The following is a 23,364-nucleotide window of genomic DNA, read 5'->3' on the forward strand; positions in this document are numbered from 1 at the left end:
ATCCATTGTCACTGGAGGCTTTCTCATTTTGTGTAAGTGTTAAGACAAGTTTGATCTAATAATAAAACACTTAATACGAATGCATATTTTAAATATGTTGCTAATAGTGATAGGTGTTAGAATTGGAATAAATCAGCCTTCATAATTATTTCCTGTTAGATTTCTGATCATGGTTTTGAGATCATTGACATAATCTAAGATTCCCTATTTCAACAGTAGAACAGATGTCAAGTGGAGTTCCCAGCAGGTATGGTTCTGCCTACTCAGTCATGTCTGTTAAATGTGTGACTACTTCCTGTGTGACGATTTTCATGTAAACCTAATAATCCTTTTCAATTTTGTCTACTCTCAAGATTTTGTTGAGAAAGAAAGAGATAGACCCTCTTGAATTGGATTTCCTGCTTCGATTCACAGTTGAACACACTCATCTGAGTCCCGTTGACTTCCTAACTTCTCAGTCATGGAGTGCTATCAAGGTATGTTAGGAATACAGTTTCTCAAATTCTGGATCTTATTTAAAATATTAGCTCTCTCCAGTGTTGAAATGTAAACATTAAAGAATACAGGTGATGTATTAAGCACCATTTCAGTTGTAGAAATGCACTGTATAATGTGATGTTATTAATCTTTGTATTATTCAATTGGTTAATTTCTCATTTAGATGTAAAGGAGCTTTTGGCTTATGTATGCGTGGAAAAGTTAATAAATATGTACAATCTGTCAGGACCTTTGATAAAAGCCAAGTGATACAAATGAATATTTTTAAAAAGTTCCTTAAATCTAAAATTTGTTTTCTTTTTAAATTTCCTTAAAAATTTGTTTTCTTTTTAAATCGTTTCACCATTTTTCTAAATAGTTCTTTAAATTACACCACAGTGGAGTCGTTTATTCTCATTGTAAAATGTTTAAGAAAAACAGAATATTTTAGAGAAATAAGTGACAGTTGCCTTAAACCTCAATTATCAATCCTCATTGCATTTTTCTGTCAAAGGCCCTATTGTTAGAAGTTAATTCTTCCAGGATCTGGAGTATCTTAATGATGTTCAACATATGCTAAGCTTTGCCCTACTCTTTTTTCTAAGAAGGAAACATTTCTGTGCATTGGAAATAACTGTTACCTCTTATTTTTATATATGTTCAGCTTTTTAAAGTAGTATTTGTAATTAGATTGTAACTTTAGAATTCAAAATTCAAATTCAAATGTGTATCAGTCAGGGTCTTAACAGGAAACAGATGGCACATTCAAAAGGTTGATGAAGAAAGTTTAACCAAGAGTCTGTTTTCATAGTATGGGCAAGAAGGATTAGGAAATCAACCAGGGGATGGGGAAGGAAAAAGGAGGAAAAGGACAGTTACTGGAACTTCATAAGAAATGAAGTTATGGGAGAGAGCCAACCTTAGAGGATCTGTGGCCTGTGGCAGAGAAACATAGTCCCTCCCAAACCACATTCCCACGAGAAAGAGCTGGGGTAGAAATGTTTCCAGAAAGGGGTCCTGATCCAGACCCCAAGAGAGGTTCTTGGATCTCGTGCAAGAAAGAATTCAGCGTGAGTCTGTAAAGCGAAAGCAAGTTTATTAATAAAGGAATAAAGAATGGCTACTCCATAGGGAGAGTAGCCCTGAGGGCTGCTGGTTGCCCATTTTTATGGTTATTTCTTGTTGATATGCTAAACAAGGGGTGGATTATTCATATCTCCCCTTTTTAGACTTTATAGGGTAACTTCCTGACGTTACCATGGCATTTGTAAACTGTATGGCACTGGTGCAGTGTAGCAGTGAGGACAACCAGAGGTCACCCTCATCACCATCGTGGTTTTGTTGGGTTTTAGCCAACTTCCTTACTGCAAGCTGTTTTATCTTTATGACCTGTATCTTGTGCCAACTTCCTATCTCATCCTGTGACTTAGAATGCCTTAACCTCCTAGGAATGCAGCCCAGCAAGTCTCAGCCTCAATTTACCCAGCTCCTATTCAAGATGGAGTTGCTGTGGTTCAAACGCCTCTGACAGAAGTACCCCCACCTCTCTCTTCTCCAGTCTTCCAGGCTCCTGCCATTGCTTTCTGTTGGCCAAACCCAACTAGGTCAGGGAACCAGGGAACTCAGCTCAAGTGTCCTTTGAGCTTACCCTCTCAGCAGAGCAAAAAAAAAAAAAAAGGAAATCTGAAGAGGAGAGTGAATACTATCCAGCACAGTTTTTTTACATAAGATTAGATACATTCACAAGTCTTCTTCTCAAACTGTAAAGTATCGTTCACACCATTCCTACTTGTTTCCCTATCATATTACAGGCAATTGCCGTCATGGAAGAATTTCGAGGCATAGACCGAGATGTGGAAGGATCTGCCAAGCAGTGGAGGAAGTGGGTAGAATCCGAGTGTCCAGAAAAAGAAAAATTACCTCAAGAATGGAAGAAGAAAAGTTTAATACAGAAGCTGATTCTTCTGAGAGCAATGCGCCCTGACAGAATGACGTATGCTCTCAGGTGGGGTGGTCAGCATTTTTGGAAACATGTATTAGTTAACATAGAGGAAATGTAGTCTGAAGAGTTAGGAGGATCTGGTGGAAGTGTTTACCATCCATTTTGATGGGGAGTGATTCTGCTGAGATTTTGATATTATAATCACTGCTACTGTTAAAATTTGCTAAACACTAAACCATGTGCTAGGCAGACTCAGCACATTCTTCCCAAAAAAGCTTAATTCTGAAATCAGTACTGGAGACAGGGGACTGATGGAAATATTCCTGGAAGAGAAATGGGTGTCAGCAGAGTTCAGAGGCCAGGAACATGCATTCATGCATTATCCAAGTGTAATTTCCATCGTTTTCTTTCAGTGATGGCATTTTGGTTCTGAAGATTTTGCATGTCAAACAAAAATGCATTCCTTTCATGGAGTCACTCATAGTCCCTATAACTTTACAACCAATGCAGTTTCAAAGCAGAAACCCTTGTCTACATCTTGGTTTAAGTGTCCTTTTTCTTTGCCCTCTTGGCTTCTAAATGGTAATGTGCTGCTTAATTCACACAAGTCTCATTCTAATTTGAATTCACCAACCAAAGAGTTCTCAACTTCCTTCCCTATTGTGTTTCTTCAGTAATATTCATGTGCCTCAGGTTTTTTCCTTTGCTTTGTCTAGTTCAGCCAATTTTCCCTTTGCAGAAACCTCTGCTGAACTCTACTTTACAAGTTAATTCTGCTTAGTAGTACTTACTTTCTGCTAAATCTGATGCTGCTGGAAAATAATCCTTGCTTAATTGAGCCTCCCTGTGTTAGAAACACCCCAAAAAGCATTTGTATATTCATGAGAAGCCCAGCAGGCTGGAAAATTGCACTGTGGCAAATCTAATGAACTGTTAATAAGTAATGGGGGAATCTGGCAGGGGATTTGGGGGATACAAAGCCATAGCAGACAGCTGATGGCACTCAGGGGGGTCTCAGTAGCCCCCCAAAATGGAATGTAGGCTTCTGATTTTCAGAGCTTCTAAGGAAGAGAAGGATTTCATTGACACACCTACCGCATACATCTAGCTGGATTCATATTGTTATTCTAACAAGACATCCCATGTAATAAACCTGGTTACTTCTATCGTGTGCCTGTGTGGTTTAAGCTTATCCAAATGGTGACTCTTTTCAAGGTCAAAACCACTGATCATGTTTTTATATTCTTGTTTTTTATAGAAATTTTGTAGAGGAAAAACTGGGTGCGAAGTATGTGGAGAGGACCAGATTGGACTTAGTTAAAGCATTCGAAGAAAGCAGCCCAGCCACCCCCATATTCTTCATCCTGTCTCCGGGGGTAGATGCCCTTAAAGACCTGGAGATTCTTGGTGAGTGGCTGGGAGGCTCGCTGGCCCGCCCCTTCTCCCTCCCTCCCTTTCACCCCCACCCCTGCCCTTCTTTTCAGTTCACAGTGATCTTAGTTTCTTTTTTTTTTTTTTTTAATTTGTTGAAGATTGGGTGTATGGAAAATGTAAAGCTAATAACCCCATAGTCTGAAGAAATGTTGAAATGGAACATTCATGTGGCTGGCATAATGCAAGTTTCTTTTGTACTGTTTTCCACCTTTTGACTGTATGAGGGCCAGAGGGCAATTTTCCACATGCTCATGTAATCTTGTGCCCCCTGTGACTAAATAATGGTCATTAGAGCAAGTGTATTTGATTGCGCAAGGCACTGTCGCCTTTGTGTTCTGGATTACCATTCCCCACGGCCTGCACCAAGAATACCAGGTTAATATAGCTGTGACCTGACTGTGCTCAATTTAAATGCAGTCTCACAAGGTGAGAGGCTTGTGCATTTACCCAATGAACAGATCCATTCAAAAAAAATGATGTGATATCTACCACATGTTGCTCCTTTTTATGAGAGAAATGCTTTGCTACTCCTGCAAGAGTTTATAAAGCTCCATAACAATGCCTGCCATCTATCAAAATGTCAATAGCTTCATTATCATAAAACCAAAGGAACTGGCTTCCACGGCTTTTCTAATGCTTGCAATGAGGCAGCTGTGGAGAGCTCAAAATGCTGCTTGTGGATACAACAGAAGTTTCTTTGGGATTCTTCAGGAAAGTCACTCAGAAGATGGCTGCGGTGACCACAGATGTGCATTAGACCACAGAATTCCAGGCTCCTCTCACCCTCCTTCATAGACATTTCCTCTCACCGTGGTGTATTCTCCCACAGGCAAAAGACTTGGCTTTACAATTGACTCTGGAAAATTCCACAATGTGTCTTTAGGACAAGGTCAGGAGACGGTGGCAGAAGTGGCCCTGGAGAAAGCTTCCAAAGGAGGACACTGGGTCATCCTCCAAGTGAGTATTAAGTTTCAGGGAAGACACTGGGCATAAACACAGAGGAGGGCCAGGGCAGAGCTGGCCCGCCCAACAGAATGCTCCCTTAACACCGCTGTGCATGGCGATTTGCAGAGTGCAAGCAGTACTGTCAGTGTTCATGATGCCTGCAAAGATGGTGAGGGGCTCTGCGGACAGCGATGGCTGTCATCTTCTGAGAGACTGTCTAGCCATTGTACTCTAAAATTAAAACTATTAGGAAGAACTTCGTCGTTCCCCTCACTTAGAGATATCTGGAACACTCAGTAGTGCCTGAGAACACGCAGGCTTGTTTAGATTGCTAACAGTGTTATCATAGTATCTGGGTTGACGTTAGAGTCGACAGAACTCTTTTTTAATGTATATTGTTGTTGCAGAATTTTGCTCCTTAGCATAGCTAAAACCAGGTCCTTGTCACACAACCAGAAAGGACTAGGAACACAGACACATTGAAGGGTGGGGGGAATGGAATTTATTGAGCGAAAAGAAAAAAAAAAGTCTCAGCAAAGTGAGAGGGGATCCTGCTAACACACCCCAACCTCACAGATTGAATACCAGGCCACTGCCCAGGAGCTGTGGAGGCCAGGCTCCTCCCCGCTGCAAATGGTGTGAATTTCCTATGGCTCTACCACATTCTCCCAATGCACAGGCAGGTCAGAGATTCTCTGGGGACCTTCCCCAATACTTGGCTCCTGCATCAATCATTATCTCATACAAGTCCAACTCTGCCCCTACCTAGTGTGTAACATTCCCTTTGATTGTAAATTATAGGGGTTTGAGTAGACAACTCCTTTATCCCTTCTCAGGCAAACATCATACAGACCTTTGGTTCTCCCACCCAGTGTCCTCTGGGATGCCCCCCTTGGCTGAGTATTACAAGAACCAGTGGAGCACAGGCCAGCATTAGGGGGCACCTGAGGAATGTGCTGACTCCATCCACAGCAAGCTCTGCTAGCTGTCTCACTAGGTCTAGGAATGGCTATTTAGTTTTCAGCTGAGTCATGCAAAGGTTCTCGTCAGTAGGCAATTCACAGGCTGCCTTATCTGGAATCATTACAACAAAGCTCCTAGGTTAGGAGTCGTGATTCTCTATATAAAGATGAGAAAAGTGAGCATCCGAGTGGCTGGAGAGCCTCAAGGCCACAGGGCTGATTGGATGGCAGAGCTGGTACTTCAGTCTAGGACTGTTTAGCAGCAGGTGACATTCCTGAAAATAGCCACCCTCATGCAAGATACAGCGTTGGCCTCCCTTAGTGTCTCCAGTATCCAGGCTCGGTGCCTTTGGCATTTCTGCTTGAAATGCAACTGGATTCATAAAGAAGCTTCCAGAGTCCAAGCAGGCTTATGATTGCAGGAATGTAACCTTCTGGGATGATGATAATACCCACTGCTTAGATGAGGCCTTAATAGAGACCTTTGTAAGGGGACTTGAGGGCAGTGTAGTGCATCCCCTTCTGAGGCTCAGAAACACAGGAGGGTTCGCTTTTTCAGAGAAAACAGTTGACACTCAGACAGTTAGGTAAATTTTAAGGTTGTCTCAGAAAGGAAAGAGCTCTTTGAGCATTCTCATGCTCCCAGTGGCTCAGACTGGAGAGAACACTAGGAGGGCTATAGTCATCCTCAAAAGAACGTATTCAAAATAAACTATTTCCATTACTTTTGTATCTGTGCTGAGCTATTTGTTGCCCCTAAAATTGCAAGTTGTAAATTTTAACATAAAAAAAACTTAAAAGATCTTATTTTGTCAAGGATCTACTTTTGGATATTTGTTTCAGACCTTTGATTTTTGTTGTTAGAGCTATGCCAGTAACCAAGAATTTAACTGTTTAAACCTCTTCACTCCCCACCCCTGTACCCACATACAGTAATTGGTAAGGAGAGATTATACCAGGCTTTGGGCCATCCCAGTGTCTAGAAGTTGCTAGTATCCATTTGATCAGCAGGAAAAAGAGAAGCAGGACTTTGAAGAAAGAGAAGGCAAACATAATGAAAACTTGTTATACTGTTCATAATTTACATTAAATTACATTAACGTGGGTATATGATATGTATGTACATGTTAATTAGTTCTTACCTAAGCCCCAATGTGATCAATTATTATGATTAGATAGAGCCCTCTAAAGGTGTTTAGATAGTAGTTAATCGAAAGCCCAAATTCCAGAGAAAACTATTATAAAAGTAGCAGGCCGGCAACTATCTTTATCTCACATGCACACCAGAAGGCTTGTGAATTAACATAACAGATATTAAAAACCATTTTTCAAGGGCAAAATGACCATTTTTCATGCATTTCCAAGACATATAGATTGTCTAAAAGTGTTGCACAAGCATTGCTGTTCTTGGAAAAATAGGCATAAGAATCTAGCCAGTCCCAAAGCCAGTACCCTCAAGAATAGCTGCCAAGCTAGATTCCAAAGTGTGCCTGTGCTCCACGATGGCTTGCTTAGAGGTTTTTCTGTCCCCTTCAGTGACTCCAAAGTCACTACCTAGAATATTTTTACATTTGATTCAAGTAAACTTTTCAAGTAAGGTACTGTTGTAGCCCATAAGACAGAGAATGAAGATATAATTGAGTTTACAAAGCAGGTTTTATTATTGTTTCTGTTGTTTTCTTTTATGATTGGCACAATTAGGAATGAGAAATACGCTTTCCTTATAACCTGTTAGTAAGCATGTAAAGGAGGGAACTTAGAGTCCTTACCTACTGTATTACTTTGCTAGAGTGGACGGCCAACTTTCCGTGTCTTCATGTGATTTGTCTTCTGTGTTTCTGGGTCCTAATCCCTTCTTCTCATAAAGACATCAGTCATATTGGTTTAAGACCCTTCATTGGCAGGATGGGGTGGCTCAAGCCTGTAATCCCAGCACTTTGGGAGGCCGAGGAGGGCAGATCATGAGGTCAGGAGATCGAGACCATCCTGGCTAACACAGTGAAACCCCGTCTCTACTAAAAATACAAAAAAAATTAGCTGGGCGTGGTGGTGGGTGCCTGTAGTCCCAGCTACTCGGGAGGCTGAGGCAGGAGAATAGTGTGAACCCAGGAGACGGAGTTTGCAGTGAGCCAAGATCGCACCACTGCACTCCAGCCTGGGTGACAGAGCGAGACTCTGTCTCAAAAAAAAAAAAAAAAAAAAAAAAAACCTTCATAATGACCACATTTAGCTTCAATTATCTCCTTAAAGACCCTATTTCCAAATACAGTCACATTATGAGATGCTGGGGGTTAAGACTTCACCATATGAATTTGGGGGTGCATAATTCTGCCCACCACATCTACCAGTGTTCATTATTTGCCAAGGGAATAAAAGCCAATAATGTGAATGACTGAGTGGGCTTAGATCTTTTTGCAATAGAAATTTTAAAGAAGGATACTTGCATTATTATTTTGTTCCATGTTTGCCCTCATTCTCTGTATTTTTGTAGCTGTTATAATCTTAAATGTTTTTCTTTGTTGGAAATAATTATATATATCTGGGTGTGACATTTCAATTACTGTATCAAGGACTTCTCCAAAGCCAGAGAACATGTAAGGTGCAGCCTTTATATCTCCCTCCCAGCACCAACTACCAAGCTATAACCTGTAGGTGTTTGGTATTGGAAGAGCAAATTTGTGAATCATAAAATGGAAAAGAAAAGAATGACAACGGTGGTGGCATTTAATTTTTTGTGTGTGATTTTCAACAGACCTAGGATTTAAGGAAAATCATCTGTTAGGAATAAACAAAACATCTTAACAATGAATGATTGCTTGCTTTCAGCTAGCCTTGCTTCCCTTATTTCCTTTTGAGTTCATATGCTTATGAGTAGGAGTTTGAGTAGAAGAGGTTTCCATCAGAAACCAATGAAGAGGGTGTCAGGCACATTTCTGGCTTTTAGTTTTCATATTTTCTCAAACTAACCCCAATATGTCTCAGTAATTGTATTTGAACCATAACAAAGAAAAGTACTAGGCAACTCCATCTCAGAAGTGACTGGTGGGCTTTTGAAGTAGGTATGTGTATTGCGTGGAGATTTTGGATTACAAAGACAGTCTGTGTTGATTGGGAACATTTAATATGTTCAAGGTTCAATTCCCTTTTGGCTTTTTTTTTTTTTGATGTATTGATGTATTGATAAAGGAAAATTTTTATGATGTATTGATAAAGGAAAATTTGAATCATGGTTCTCTGAGTTTTCAGTGCAATTATATATAGGAAAATGTAATCTTATAATTCAAGTAATATGCCTCACCTTCACAGGAATTATGCACCATGCTATCTTTCAGAATGTTCATTTGGTAGCCAAGTGGCTAGGAACCTTGGAGAAGCTCCTTGAAAGATTCAGCCAAGGAAGCCACAGAGATTACAGGGTTTTCATGAGTGCTGAGTCTGCACCTACACCAGATGAGCATATCATCCCTCAAGGACTCCTGGAAAATTCCATTAAGATCACTAATGAACCCCCAACAGGGATGCTGGCCAATTTGCATGCCGCCCTGTACAACTTTGATCAGGTAAGAAAGCGAAGCAGGCTAGGCAGACAATGAAGTCAGAGTCATCTCACAAGACTGTGGGGCCCAGAATCAACCCAGGCATGTCATTGAGAGGGATGAAGCAAGTTCTTAATGTTCGCATGTGGAAGGGTAGGGGTGGGCGTGTTTTAATCTCTTGAAAGAATTGCCCCTGTCATTTCCGATTCTAATGACCAGTAAATATATTTCAGTCTCACCCTAACATTAAGAAAACTTCAGCTACTGTGTAGGGAAAGCTAACTAGGTAACTTCTTGAGGAGGTTGCTTTTTTTTTTTTTTTTTTTTTTTTGAGACGGAATCTCACTTTGCCGCCCAGGCTGGAGTGCAGTGGCATGATCTTGCCTCACTGCAACTTCCACCTCCCGGGTTCAAGCAATTCTCCTGCCTCAGCCTCCTGAGTAGCTGTGATTACAGCTGCATACCACCACGCCCGGCTAATTTTTGTATTTTTAGTAGAGATGGGGTTTCACCATGTTGACCAGACTGGTCTTGAACTCCTGACCTCAGGTGATCCACCTGCCTCGGCCTCCCAAAGTGCTGGGATTACAGACATGAGCCACCGCGCCTGGCCGGAACTTGCTTCTTGAAAACAAATGTGGCACACTAGTATCTCTGACCACAGAAAGAGAAGAAGCCATTGTTATTCTTGTTGATGATGGCGACAGTAATGACATGGTAAAAGTTTCAGTGTAGTGTTTTAGCCCGGTTTGATATGAGTAAATTTAAAGGCCTCTTTTTGGGTTATATCTATGACACCTTATTTATATGTTCATGTTTTTCCAAGATAAGACAAATGAATACTTACATGGTTTTTTTTTGTTTTTGGTTTTTTTGAGACAGAGTTTTGCTCTTGTCGCCCAGGCTGGAGTGCAATGACATGATCTTGGCTCACTGCAACCTCAGCCTCCCAGGTTGAAGCGATTCTCCTGCCTCAGCCTCCCAGGTAGCTGGGATTACAGGCGCCCACCACCAAGCCCAGCTAACTTTTGTATTTTTAGTAGAGACAGGGTTTCATCATGTTAGCCAGGCTGGTCTCGAACTCCTGACCTCAGGTGATCTGTTCACCTTGGCCTCCCAATTCCACCTTGGCTGGAATTACAGGTGTGAGCCACTGCACCTGGCCAAATACATATATAAATTAATACATAAATACATACGTATATATACATATATATACACATATATATGATATATATATGATACCTTTATTACCATTACTCTTTTTACCCAAACTATCCTATCTATCAACATCATTGTCAAGTCTTTCAGTTTCCTTTCTTGCTATTGCTCTGAGATCTTCCTTCCTTCCTCTAATTTTTTGGAAATCCTTGGTAAATCGCATTCTTGTTAGGACAGTAGAATGAACCCTAAAGAGGAAATACATATGATTTGGTGATAAATATTCAGCCCCCTCTTAGAAATATCATTCTCTACGAAGCATGTTAACATCCTTAGCTTCTTTTCTCGTAACTTTTGGGTCAATACGTAAACCAACATTATGAAGGAATTATGATAATTGACTACCTAAGAATACAGTGTTGAAGAATGCAGTTAATTACTTCATTAAATAATTGAGTAATTTTTATCCTATATATACACACAAGATTGTGTAAATAGTAGGACTCAAAAAATCTTTTTGAAACTATTAAGTATCTGCAATATGCCTTATTTAATCCACTATGACAGACATATATGTTTTTTAATCATCTCTTAATTTATAATTTCTGGCTATTTATGACATTTTCAAGCTATTTCCCAAAGTACATACAAAGAGGAATTTGATTTATTTAAATAGGACTTATCTGCCCCCTAAAATAAGTATCTTTATTCATGAAAGTGAACATTTCATGAACAAATATGCTTCAGCCCAATTATCCTTCAGCTTTTTTGTTCGTTTGTTTGTTTTGTTTTTTTGGTAAAGATCACTTCGAGAATCTCATAAAACTGTGGACACTCTCCCCAGGGAAATACACGTTCGAAAATATACTGCACATTGGGCCAGACACAGTGCCTCATGCCTACAATCCCAGCACTTTAGGAGGCTGAGAGGAGGATCACTTGAGCCCAGGAGTTCGAGGCTGCAGTGAGCTATGATCACACCACTGTGCTTCAGCCTGGGCAACAGAGCGAGACACTGTCTCAAAAAATAATAATAAGTGTTAAAAATATGTTGCATATAATGATAAAGATTCACAGATTCCCCCAAAGCCTATGCATGAATTCCCTAGTTAAGAACACCTGTTCTGGTCTTTTCATGAACCTGTCAATTCTTTTGACTGCTATCTGGAAAGCCACTTTTATTAATTGAAGGTTACTTTTATTAGAAGGGCTTTTAGGAACTTCAAGGAAGAATATTTCTTTTTTTTTTTTTTTTTTTTTTTTGAGACAGAGTCTCACTCTATCGCCCAGGCTGGAGTGCAGTGGTACGATCTCGGCTCACTGCAAGCTCCGCCTCCCAGGTTCACGCCATTCTCCTGCCTCAGCCTCCCGAGTAGCTGGGACTACAGGTGCCTGCCACCATGCACGGCTAATTTTTTGAGTTTTTTAGTAGAGACGGGGTTTCACCGTGTTAGCCAGGATGGTCTTGATCTCCTGACCTTGTGATCTGCCCGCCTCGGCATCCGAAGTGCTGGGATTACAGGCGTGAGCCACCGCACCTGGCCCAAGGAAGAATATTGCTTATTTAGTGGAGAGGATCCTCTGAAATATTAAGACTGAACTTGATGTTAAGTAGCAAAAGCAAAGATAACCAAAGTGATTCACTAAATAATCTTCTCATCAAACCTATCTTAGCCAGAGCCAACCAACAAAATAAAAAATGTGCAGAAAATCTAAAATGTTAGAGTCTTTTATGAATGCTGACCTGTCATTATGTTAGAAAACAAAATGCAGTTTTTAATCAGATTATATAATTCAAGGGATTTAGCCTGTGCTCCCTGGCTCTCTGTGAATATGTTCCCATTGCCCTTTTATCAGTTAGAATGTTGGGTTGGCTACTTTTGAAAAAAGTTCTTATAAAATAACAGTGGCTTATACAAGGTCAAAAAGTAGTCCTGCCACATGAGAGTTTTACAGATAGTCCATTCAGAAGTCATGTGTTACCACAAATTGTCATCAATCTGGCTCTTTATAGTTCACCATTTCTAGAATGGGCTTTTCACGGTCCCAGGTGGCTGCAGGAGTTGCAGCCCCCATATCCACATTCCTGACAGGAGGATGGAAGAAGAAACAAACAAGATGACAAAAGGAAAAGGACGGTGTTTGCTTTGTTGTGCAAGTGCTTCCTACAAGTTAACAAACAGAAATTCTCCTTTCATCTCATTGGTCAAACTTAGTCACATTGCATTACCTAGCTGCAAGAGAGGCTGGGAAAAGTGAATTTATCTTAAGCAACCATATGCCCAGCTAAAAATTAGCAAGAAGACATTTTAAGGAAGGCAATCAGCAGTCTCCATCACAGATGTCCTTTCCCACATCTCCTTGTATTATTTGGGGTGTTCTGTGTTGCTGCTGTGGTCCAATCTTGTTAAAGCCTGTGTATGGATAGATTGATGAATGCTATCTCTCTTGTTACCCATATGGGTTAGGTAAATGAGGACCAGTTGTTCCTGTTGCCTGGGTGTCCCTCACAGTGGAGTAAAATACCCAAGAGGTTTAGACAAGTCAACTGTACTGCTAGGGTATTTTTCAAATCTAATTAAACCTTTTTTTTCTTTTTTTTGCTCTGTCACCCAGGCTGAAGTGCAGCAGCACACTTATAGCTCACTGCAGCCTTGAACTCCTGGGCTCAAGTAATCCTCCTGCCTCAGCCTCCTGAGTAGCTGGGACTACAGGTGTATGCCACTATGCCTGGCTAATTTTTAAATCCATATTTTTAATCTTTCCCCTCAATTTAGAATTTACCTCCAAACTTTGGCATGTGTATTCAAAATGAACAGTTTGTTTAATACTAGTGCTTTATTATCCTGAGCATTCCAGAATATTTATGTAAATTTAATCAAGTGGCTGGGACATAAAGAACCATTTCTTGTAGGATACCATCTACCTACGCCTTTCAGCTAAAGAGCCTCTTGAGGCTAGGCACGGTGGCTCACGCCTGTAATCCCAGCACTTTGGGAGGCCGAGGCGGGCGGATCACGAGGTCAGGAGATTGAGATCATCCTGGCTAAAAAGGTGAAACCCCATCTCTACTAAAAATACAAAAAATTAGCCAGGCGTGGTGGTGGGCGCCTGTAGTCCCAGCTACTCGGGAGGCTGAGGCAGGAGAATGGCATGAACCCGGGAGGCAGAGGTTGCAATGAGCAGAGATCGCGCTACTGCACTCCAGCCTGGGCAACACAGGGAGACTCCATCTCAAAAAAAAAAAAAAAAAAAAAAAAGAGCCTCTTGAGGAAGATGTAGTAAAGGAGTACTCTTTTGGCTCCCTTCACACCCAGATAACTATATTTTTTTAGAGTAAGAAGATAGATTTCTGTTTCTGTAAAATTTGCAGGCAGAAACAAGTAATTGATCATTGTGCATATAAAATTGGTAATTGTGTACAAATAGCACTACTATGGGTATGCAGATGCCTGTTCTTTGTTCACAATGGAGTCTGTATTTTTTAAATATTTCCTTATCACTTGGTTTGCAAAAATACAACTGGCCTGAACTGTGGAATGGTAGGTAGACTCATACCTTTTCTTCAGAAAGCCTGATTCATATTTTTTTCCTGCATCATTTATGTTATCAGAACACAAAGAAATGGATTGACTTGTTTCTTTTAGCACTGAGGATAAAGCCAAGTCATTTATATAAAGTACAGATTGAAGTAATGTACTTAGTTATTATAGTACCTTGGGTTTTATGTGGACTATCTGTAATTCAGAAAGGTATTAAGTGATTTGTTAGATCATAATTCCAAAGTGAAATTTTGATACATATATTGGATCTCCTAGAAATTTCTCACATTTAAAAGTAAATTTTTTTTATACCCTTCAAGGTTAATTCCAGTTATACGGTTTCTCTTTTCTGCCTTCACAAGCTTGCCCTTTATTTGTGGAAAAGTTATTTTTTAATGATTGTATATTTCCAAGCCCCATAAATGACCTAAAAATGGCCTAGTGATTTAGAGTGACCTAGTGATTTAATTGGATCTGCGCTACATGCTTCCTGGCCAATTCTAGAACCGTATTTGGTGGGAGCCCTGGATTCTGCTAAAAGCACTGTCTAAAGAAACTGAAAAGCTCTCTGATCCTGACCCACAGAGAACAAATCTGGTCTTGGTTTAGTATCACAAGTCCTCTGGAAGACTAGGTCTGAACTACTCACACTGGTTCTACATATACTTCATATATGGCCCAAGTTGTCAGATCCATTTCAAATGTGAACTGGCTATAGTTTGCCCATTTTAAAGGACAAGGCAGGGAAGGGCAGATTTTGGCCTCTTCCTCCCCTGTTGCTCAATGCCAGCTGAAGGAATAGTCCTCAACTTCCTTTCCTTGCCTCACAGAACTGCCAAATCTGAACATGGGTGAAATATGACTTTTAAGCCATAGATTGGACAGCTATTTTTCTTTTAATTTTATGGCTGTTGGGCCATAACCGTATCCATGTAGCATGCCAGGATTCCATTTTCCATCTGCGTTCTTAAAAAAAAATCTCACAGGTCTAGGCTGGGCACAGTGACTTGTGACTGTAATCCCAGCACTTTGAGAGGCCGAGGTGGGTGGATCATGAGATCAGGAGTTCGAGACCACCCTGGCCAATCTGGTGAATCCCCATCTCTATTTAAAAATATATACAAAAATTAGCCGGGCATGGTGGTGCATGCCTGTAGTCCCAGCTACTCGGGAGGCTGAGGCAGAAGAATCGCCTGAACCCTGGAGGCGGAGGTTGCAGTGAGCAGAGATAGCCCCTCTGGTGACAGAGCAAGACTCCATCTCAAAAAAACAAAAAACAAATAAACAAAAAAAAAACCTCACAGGTCTAGACACATGTTTCCCAATTTTCCATATATCACCCAGTCATCCCAACAATGAATTTTACTTTTAGTTCATTGGAAGGAAATAATGTGTCGTGGTGATTTTATTAGTTAAGGTACAGGCTAAGCTGCTGTAAGAAAGAGAATCAAAACTATAGGGATTCAAACAAGATAGGAGTTTTTTTCTCACACATATTAGGCAGCTTTGTTCCATGAGATCATTCATACGCCCAAGCTGATGGGTGCCCCTGCCATACCTAACTCAAGTTTTCCAGACTTGACCAATCATCATCATTTCTAGCCATAGAAAAGGAAAGAGTTCGCTGGGCCCCGCGGCTCGTGCCTATAATCCCAGCACCTTGGGAGGCCGAGCAGGGTGGATCACCTGAGGACAGGAGTTCAAGACCAGCCTGGCCAATGTGGCAAAAACCCATCTCTATTAAAAATACAAAAATTAGCTGGGTGTGGTGGCATGCACCTGTAATCGCAGCTACTCAGGAGGCTGAGGCAGGAGAATTACTTGAACCCAGGAGGCAGAGGTTGCAATGAGCTGAGTTGGTGCCACTGCACTGCAGCCTGGGTGACAGAGCAAGACTCCGTCTCAAAAAAAAAAAAAAAAAGAAAGAAAGAAAAAAAGGGAAGAGTGACAACTAAGACAAGCAATTTCATTTTCAGCAAATGACCTGGAAGTTATACACAACACTTTAGCTGAAATTCTGTTGGCAAAAACTTGGTTGGATGACACAAATGGCTTCATGGGAGGCTGGGAAACAGTCAAGGGTGTCCATGTGCCCAGAGAACCAGGGAAGAATGGATAGTTGTGGTTAACTAGCATTCTCCCAACCGTAATAGCATTCTACTACAGTGATGAAATGAAGATGATGGCTTTATGTCATCCAGATTCTGCGAAGAAAATTTTGCAGAGGAAAATGATGTCAAGCAGTATGACATGGTTAAAATGAACTGTCTCATTTTCTAGTGAACTTAGAAGCATTCAGAAGCATGACTGAAGCAAAATAAAAGTATTCCTCTTAAGCCAACAGACTGGCAAATGCCAAATAATCTCCTGTTAAGCTTCTCATTGGATAAGTAGCCATGCTGAAGACTGCCTCTGTAGTATCTCACTCTCAAAGTTCTTTACAAGATTATTGAAAACGCAGACCCTTGCTCTTGGAAACCATACAGATGGATAATCAAGCATTTCTTCTCTTTTTTCCCAGGATACACTTGAAATATGCTCCAAGGAGCAGGAGTTTAAAAGCATCCTTTTTTCTCTCTGCTACTTCCACGCCTGTGTTGCTGGGAGACTGAGGTTTGGCCCCCAGGGCTGGAGCCGAAGCTATCCTTTTAATCCTGGAGACCTCACCATTTGTGCCAGTGTCCTCTACAACTACTTAGAGGCAAACTCTAAAGTAAGTGCTAGTGGTCAAATAACCTCTTCCAAGGAGTTTACAAAGCTGTCAGTCTTTGGGCACTATCAAAATTGACCATAATTTCTCTTTTGAAGCTATTATTGAAATAGCTGACACTATGTATGTATCTTCTGCCAAGTGTGAAAATAAACCAGATCAAAGGTTTTCCAGCAGTGGATGTTTGCACTTCATGAGATAGGTCAAACCAGTTCTACATCAGCAGCTTAGTGTAAAAAAAAACAAAAAATGTCCTTCATTATGTTAACAAAAACAGTGGTTTACATGTGCGTATATGCCAGATTCATTAGGCAGGTAATGAAGCATTTGCACAAATGTAATTACATACAGCAATTCTGACAGTTCATAACACTGCATTAATAATCACTACAATTAGTTCTGATGATGGAAGCAATTTACAGCGCGTCACATGTATAAATAATGGTGCATTTCCTGCATATGTCATTATTATGTATTAAGGATGCCACCTTGTTGTGACTTTCTCAGTAATGTTCCCCTTGATTTGAAGTTAAAGGTAGATGAATGATTTTATTTCGTAGCTAAAATGTGTTTTACAGATGGGAATGGGAATGCCTCATCAAGAACATTTGTGTAAGTTCTCATAAACCCAATGATTGGATTTCAAAAAGCAAGAACCATTCATTCCTAAGGATTTTCTAGCTTAATCCTCACAAGGGAAACTTTTTTCATTAAGTTAAATCCGTTAAGACTAGGATACATGTGTCAAAACCAGTCAAGTGTTGTACTCTAGGCCACATTTTCTATAAAGCGTTTTTAAAATCACCCGTCTCTGTTTCTAAATGGAAACTATTGTTTTATGTTCCTTCAGTAATGATTGTTATAACTTTTTTGGTCAGCTTTCTCAGGCTTCGGTGGTGATTTGATTGCTATTAGAATAGATACCCTTGGTACCTAACAGGCATATTTTCCCAAGGAACAAATTTTAAATAAGTTGTATCCAAAATAAATGGTTTTAATATGGTATTTGATGTTCAGTGTTCCATATCTCTCATTTTTCAATTTATAGAATTAAGTAATTCTGAATACTTTGAGCATATTTTGACCATTCTATTAAATAGTAATATTTTTGTGTTGATTCCCAGCACATTTTGTCTAAACTATTGCACATAAAATTATAACAGTTCTAGGTAGAAAAAGGAATGGACCATTTAAGACTTTTATTCATGTCCTTCATAACTGTCCTGTGAGGCTGCAACCGGGAATAGAATCGTATTTCAGCTGAATCCTATACACCATTGAGGTGGAAATGAAGGGGAGGAAGAGGGAAGTGGACACACGTGTTTCTCTCCAGCTCTTACATCCTGAGTCTTGGAAACACCAGTTGACCAACCGAGTCACACTGTGTCCTGCTTTTTTTTCATCCTGGGGCTCCAGGATCAGCACAGCCTTAAGTTTTTAACACATTCTCATGTTTCTCAGTCATTTTCTGCACATCACAAGGCGACTTATCAGGATTTGGGAATTAAATTCCTATGAGCACATGTTTGGTTGTACAAAATGGCCTTTTCAAGAAAGTATATGTAAAAAACAAAGACCAGGATTGAGGGAAAGAGAATCAATTATTGAAAAGAACAGATCTGAGGCCAGGCGTGATGGCTCATGCCTATAATCCCAGCACTTTGGGAGGCCAAGTCGGGCGGATCGCTTGAGTCCAGAAGTTCGACACCAGCCTGGGTAACATGGGGAAACCCAGTCTCCATAAAAAATACAAAAGATTAGCTGGGCATGGTGATGCACGCCTGTAGTTCCAGCTATTTAGGAGACTGAGGTGAGAGGATCGCTTGAACCCTGGAAGTGGAGGTTGCAGTAAGCTGAGATCATACCACTGCACTCCAGCCTGAGCAACAGAGTAAAACTCTGTCTCAAAAACAAAAGAGGAAAGAACAAATCCTTAGCTAAATAATTATTGAAAAGAACAGATAATTATTTAAATAATTATTGAAAAGAACAGATCCCTAGTTAAATAAAAATTAAAAAGAGATACATATTGAATACTGAAATGTGTTGCAAGCATCGATTAAATGTAAGCAGAAAAAGAACTAAAAGTCAGAAGCCTTTGTTTTCCATCCATTTCAGCTATTTGGAAGGTAGTCCATGCAGTGGTTGAGAGAGCATGTTGCGGTCTAGGCACCCCTCTCTTATTTTTCATTCACCTCAACCCAGCTTAAAAGACATATTTGAGGTTCATTTATTCAAATTCAAATAAACTTGTAGAAAAGTACATTGGCATAGTTGAAGCAATTTTACTTGTTCTGTTCTGTCACATCACGCAACAAGCGAAGGCTATAATTATAATTATGTTTTTACTTAAACTGTTGGGAGGCAGTATACTGCCCCCGAAGGTGTAAAGGTTCCTGTCTAGAAAGGCTTCATCACACACTGGCATGTTTTGCAAACCCAGAAGAAGCTAAAGTATAGCAAAGAGAGGCTTCAAACCCTGCTCAGCCAAATAAAGAGTAGGTACAGTGATTTCTTGAATAAAACATGGTATAGTCATTAGTTACAACCCTTAGAACAGTCATTAGGCCAGTCATGCCGTAAGACAAGCCCTCAGCTCCATCTGTGGCAAGGGGATTTGTTTGCCTGGACTTTTGGAAAATACTAGGATTCTAAATACACCCCAAATTCAAATTGTGTGGATGTTGCTTTCTTTTCCTGAATCAGATAATACAAGCTGATATAAAGCAGATAATAAAAACATGTCATACTTCAAAGGCCCTGTGAACCAACATCCTTTCACAATTTTTAGATGAGAATTTGAATGTATAAACTTTCCCTGCAAACATGTTCTAGGGATGACTCAGTTTCTTTTAAAATCTGCCTAAGGCTGGGCATGGCAGCTCAAGCCTGTAAATCCCAGTACTTTGAGAGGCCAAGGAGGAAGGATGGCTTGAGGCCAGGAATTCGAGACCAACCTGGACACCATAGTGAGACCCCCATCTCTACAAAATTTTTAAAAAATTAGCGAGATGTAGTGTCCTGTGCCTGTAGTCCTAGTTACTTGGGAGGCTGAGGCGAGAGGATTGCTGGAGCCCCAGAATTCAAGGTTGCAATGAGCTGTGATTGTGCCACTGCACTCCAGCTTAGGCAACAAAGCCAGACCTCATCTCTTAAAGAAAAAAAATCTTCATAAACAGCTCAATGTTAGTGAATTTTCACTGACTATATTAGAAGACACTGAAAATAATTCTCCCAAGAAATTCTCTGCAGAAACTTAGACAATTTCTGAAGCACCTTTAAATCCTCCTATTGACGGAGGCTTGGAGGGCATTGTGTTAGAGGGGCACGTGCTACTGGTTGGCTACTCTGAGGCAGACTCTGCACCCAGCAGTGAATATTTGTGTGGTTTTCTCCACAGGTCCCATGGGAAGATCTCCGTTATCTCTTTGGTGAGATCATGTATGGAGGCCACATCACAGATGACTGGGATCGCAAACTGTGTCGGGTGTATTTAGAAGAATTCATGAATCCATCTCTGGTAAGACATTTGTAAATTAATTTGTAAATAAATTTCACTGAGCAAAAAATTCTGGTAAGAATTTTATAAACTAATTATACTATGGGCAATTCTTAATGTTATTGAGGATGCTTGGCCTTTTGGGAAATTTCTTAGAAAAGCGGAATCTCGGGTTCCATCCCAGACCTACAGAATCAGAATCTGCATTTTCACAAGTCTTCCAGGTGATCTCTGTGTGTGCTAGAGAGTGCACCAGCGTGAGGCAGCCTCACATGCACTGACTCATCGGCTCTTTATAAAAACCCTATGAGGTATGCAGAGCTGACGCTGTTATTCCCTTTTCTAGACCGAGATGCTGAAACATGGGGATTTGCCCCAGGCCACTAGGTTGGCACAGGCAAGAGTTTTGTGCGTCTTTTGATAGAAGTCTTTTGATTTCTATTCCAGAGTTTATTTCACTAAAGTTTCTTTTCTGCCTGTCATGGAAGTCCTAGAAAATAGTCTACAGTTGGACCAGTATCAGTTACTCAATTATAATATGTGCTCAAGAAAAATGTGGTCAATATGTATGTGAGGTGATAGATTTGTTAATTAGCCTGATTTAACCATTCCACGATGTACACGTGTATCAAAACATCACACTGTGCCCCATAAATATATATAATTATTATTTGTCAATTTAAAATAAAATTAAATCTAACAAGATAGTAAAAAAAAAGATTATATATATCAACCAAGGGCAAGGTAAGAACCTTATTTGGATCTTGTTCCAAATGAACTATAAAAAAAAAAAAAAAAACACACACATTTATGACACAATGGGAAATTAACATTAACATATCATGGTAATATAGAATTCCCGTTAATATTTTATGTGTGATAATAAAGTAATATAGTTATGTTTTTTAAAAAGAGAAAAGATGCTCCAGGGTGAACCTGGAGGACATTACGTTAAATGAAATAAGTCAGACGCAGAAGGACAAATACATGTTCTCACACACATAAAGACTCTTAAAAAGCTGATCTCCTATAAATGGTGAATAGAACAGTGGTTACCAGAGACTGGGGAAGGGGAGAATGGGGAATGAATGGTCAACAGATACAAAGTTACCATCCTTAGAAAGGAAGAATAAGTAAGTTCTCGTGTCCTATTGCACAGTAGGGTAACTGTAGTCAACAATACAATATTGTATATCTAAAAATAGCTAGAAGAGAGGATTTTGTATGTTCCCACCCCAAAGAAATGAGAAATATTTAAGATGATGGGCCTGCTGATTGCCTGATTTGATCATTACACAACATATACATGTATCAAAACATCGCATTGTACCCCATCAATATGTACAATTATTATGTGTCAGTTAAAAAGACAAGTATGGTGATTTGAGAACCTCATTCTTCCTTCTCTCGTGAGGAAGAGGTAGATCACCCCTGTAGGTGGAGTTTTAAAAGACCAAGCATCCTTTTCCCATTTCTCATCTTAGTAACCCTGTGTCTGTGTAGAAATGGTTCCAGCCCGGGGCTGTGTTTTCTGGAAAAAGTACTCCATTTTTGTTTCTCGTACTACAGAGGGTGAGCGTGGTGGCTGTAGTTTTCTCATGCTCTCTCTCCCTCATGGCATCCAGGTTCATGGCCATTCCTGGTTATTTCTTGGAAACGTAAAGCACCTGTACACCATATCATGTCTATTTCCAGTTGGGCGAGACACCAACTCTGTTTAAAGCAATGCTTTGAATAGTTTGAGTGATGTCCTATTTATAGTTTCTCTGAAAATTTCACCTCAGAGAAGCATTATATAGATTTGATCACCTTCCTAGAGTTCATTTTGAGAAGTAATATAATCATATCAGTCTAATATTTAGTGTATATTAGATTAAATCACTAAAATCATATTAGTCTAATATTTAGTCTATTTTAGACTAAAATACACCAGGAAAACATAGTGTATTTTAGTCTAATATAGAAAACTGGGGACATTCTTTTGTTACTACTTTTAATAATGTGGAACAGTTTGGAGACAGTGCAAAAAATGCACAATGTTATGTAATTGTTTCTTTTGATTGTGAGTCTCATGGTCTTTCCTTAGTTCTAATGAGCAAGATTTCACATGTCAGAGAGAGACTTCCAATTTAGCACAATTGGAAGTCACTCCTCAGGAAAGGTCTGGGAGCAAGTTACCATGGAGATGGGAAAGCTAAACAGTGCCAGGCATGCGACCTTTACAGAGGCTGATTTCTCCGAATGATGGTGGAGGGCAAGGGGCCCGCGAGGAGCTCCCCTAGCTCTGGCCTGTGGCTGAGGGGAGAATTACTGTTGCCAAATGCAGCAGTCCATTAACCTTCACAAGCCTGAACTCCCATTCAAATAATTGTAAAATAAATATAGGTGATGAAACCTGAAGGGGCATCAGTGATGTGTGTAAGCCCTTTAGAAATTTAGGTACCTGACCTTACATACAGATCTGGCGAGGTTTCCAGGATTGAAATGCTTCATTTTGCAAGCTGGCATCCTCACTGGAGAGGTACCTCCTCAACTCACCAAAGGAAATTAAAGCACTTAACTGACTTGCTGTCAGAGGCTGCAAATCCCAGTTATTTTGTTCTCATGCACGTTTCTCCTGTTTATGCTGTTTATATGATTAGCAACATGATCTAACACTTCATCTGCAGGACATCTTTTTGCCACTTCCCACAAGTGGTTAACATATTTGGAAATTAGTGTCTTTGGTTGCATTGGAACATGATCAAAAAGCAACCCATTCATGGTGTGGGGTTTAAAGTTCTGCTGCTCTTATCCAAAGAATCAGAATGCTTTCAGTGATATCTTGCTGTTAGGAGGATCAGTGAGTTTCTTGTTGAATAAATGAGTTTGCTCTCAGAGAGAGTTCTCCAGTGGGCTTTAGAGGGTCTCTGGCCAAAGTCAAGAAAGAAAACATCTTCTCACATAAAGCATGTATTTGGCAGCGTTAATTAAGAAATACAGTAAATCACTTTCAGAGAATAAGGTACCAGGTCACCTTAAAGTTATCATATAATACAAACTATTTTAGTAATATAGAATAACAAGAATCTGGGGTTTGAAGTAAAAAACAAAGACAAAAAACACCTGGGTTCACACTGAAGTACCTCTATGTATTTGCCGTATGATGTAATTGAC

General features: G+C 40.1%; 1 protein-coding gene across 1 annotated transcript in view; it reads left to right on the forward strand.

The window, feature by feature from the left end:
• Window positions 1-23,364, forward strand: part of DNAH11 (dynein axonemal heavy chain 11) — a 358,801-nt gene that overhangs the window by 321,143 nt on the left and 14,294 nt on the right. The window contains exons 70-76 of the mRNA NM_001277115.2: window positions 354-476; window positions 2,289-2,482; window positions 3,678-3,826; window positions 4,683-4,810; window positions 9,093-9,320; window positions 16,521-16,712; window positions 20,110-20,229. Coding sequence (NP_001264044.1) covers window positions 354-476; window positions 2,289-2,482; window positions 3,678-3,826; window positions 4,683-4,810; window positions 9,093-9,320; window positions 16,521-16,712; window positions 20,110-20,229 — 1,134 coding nt within the window. The remainder of the gene's footprint in view (window positions 1-353; window positions 477-2,288; window positions 2,483-3,677; window positions 3,827-4,682; window positions 4,811-9,092; window positions 9,321-16,520; window positions 16,713-20,109; window positions 20,230-23,364) is intronic.

Source organism: Homo sapiens, chromosome 7 (genome assembly GCF_000001405.40).
Source record: "Homo sapiens chromosome 7, GRCh38.p14 Primary Assembly".
Taxonomy (NCBI): domain Eukaryota; kingdom Metazoa; phylum Chordata; class Mammalia; order Primates; family Hominidae; genus Homo; species Homo sapiens.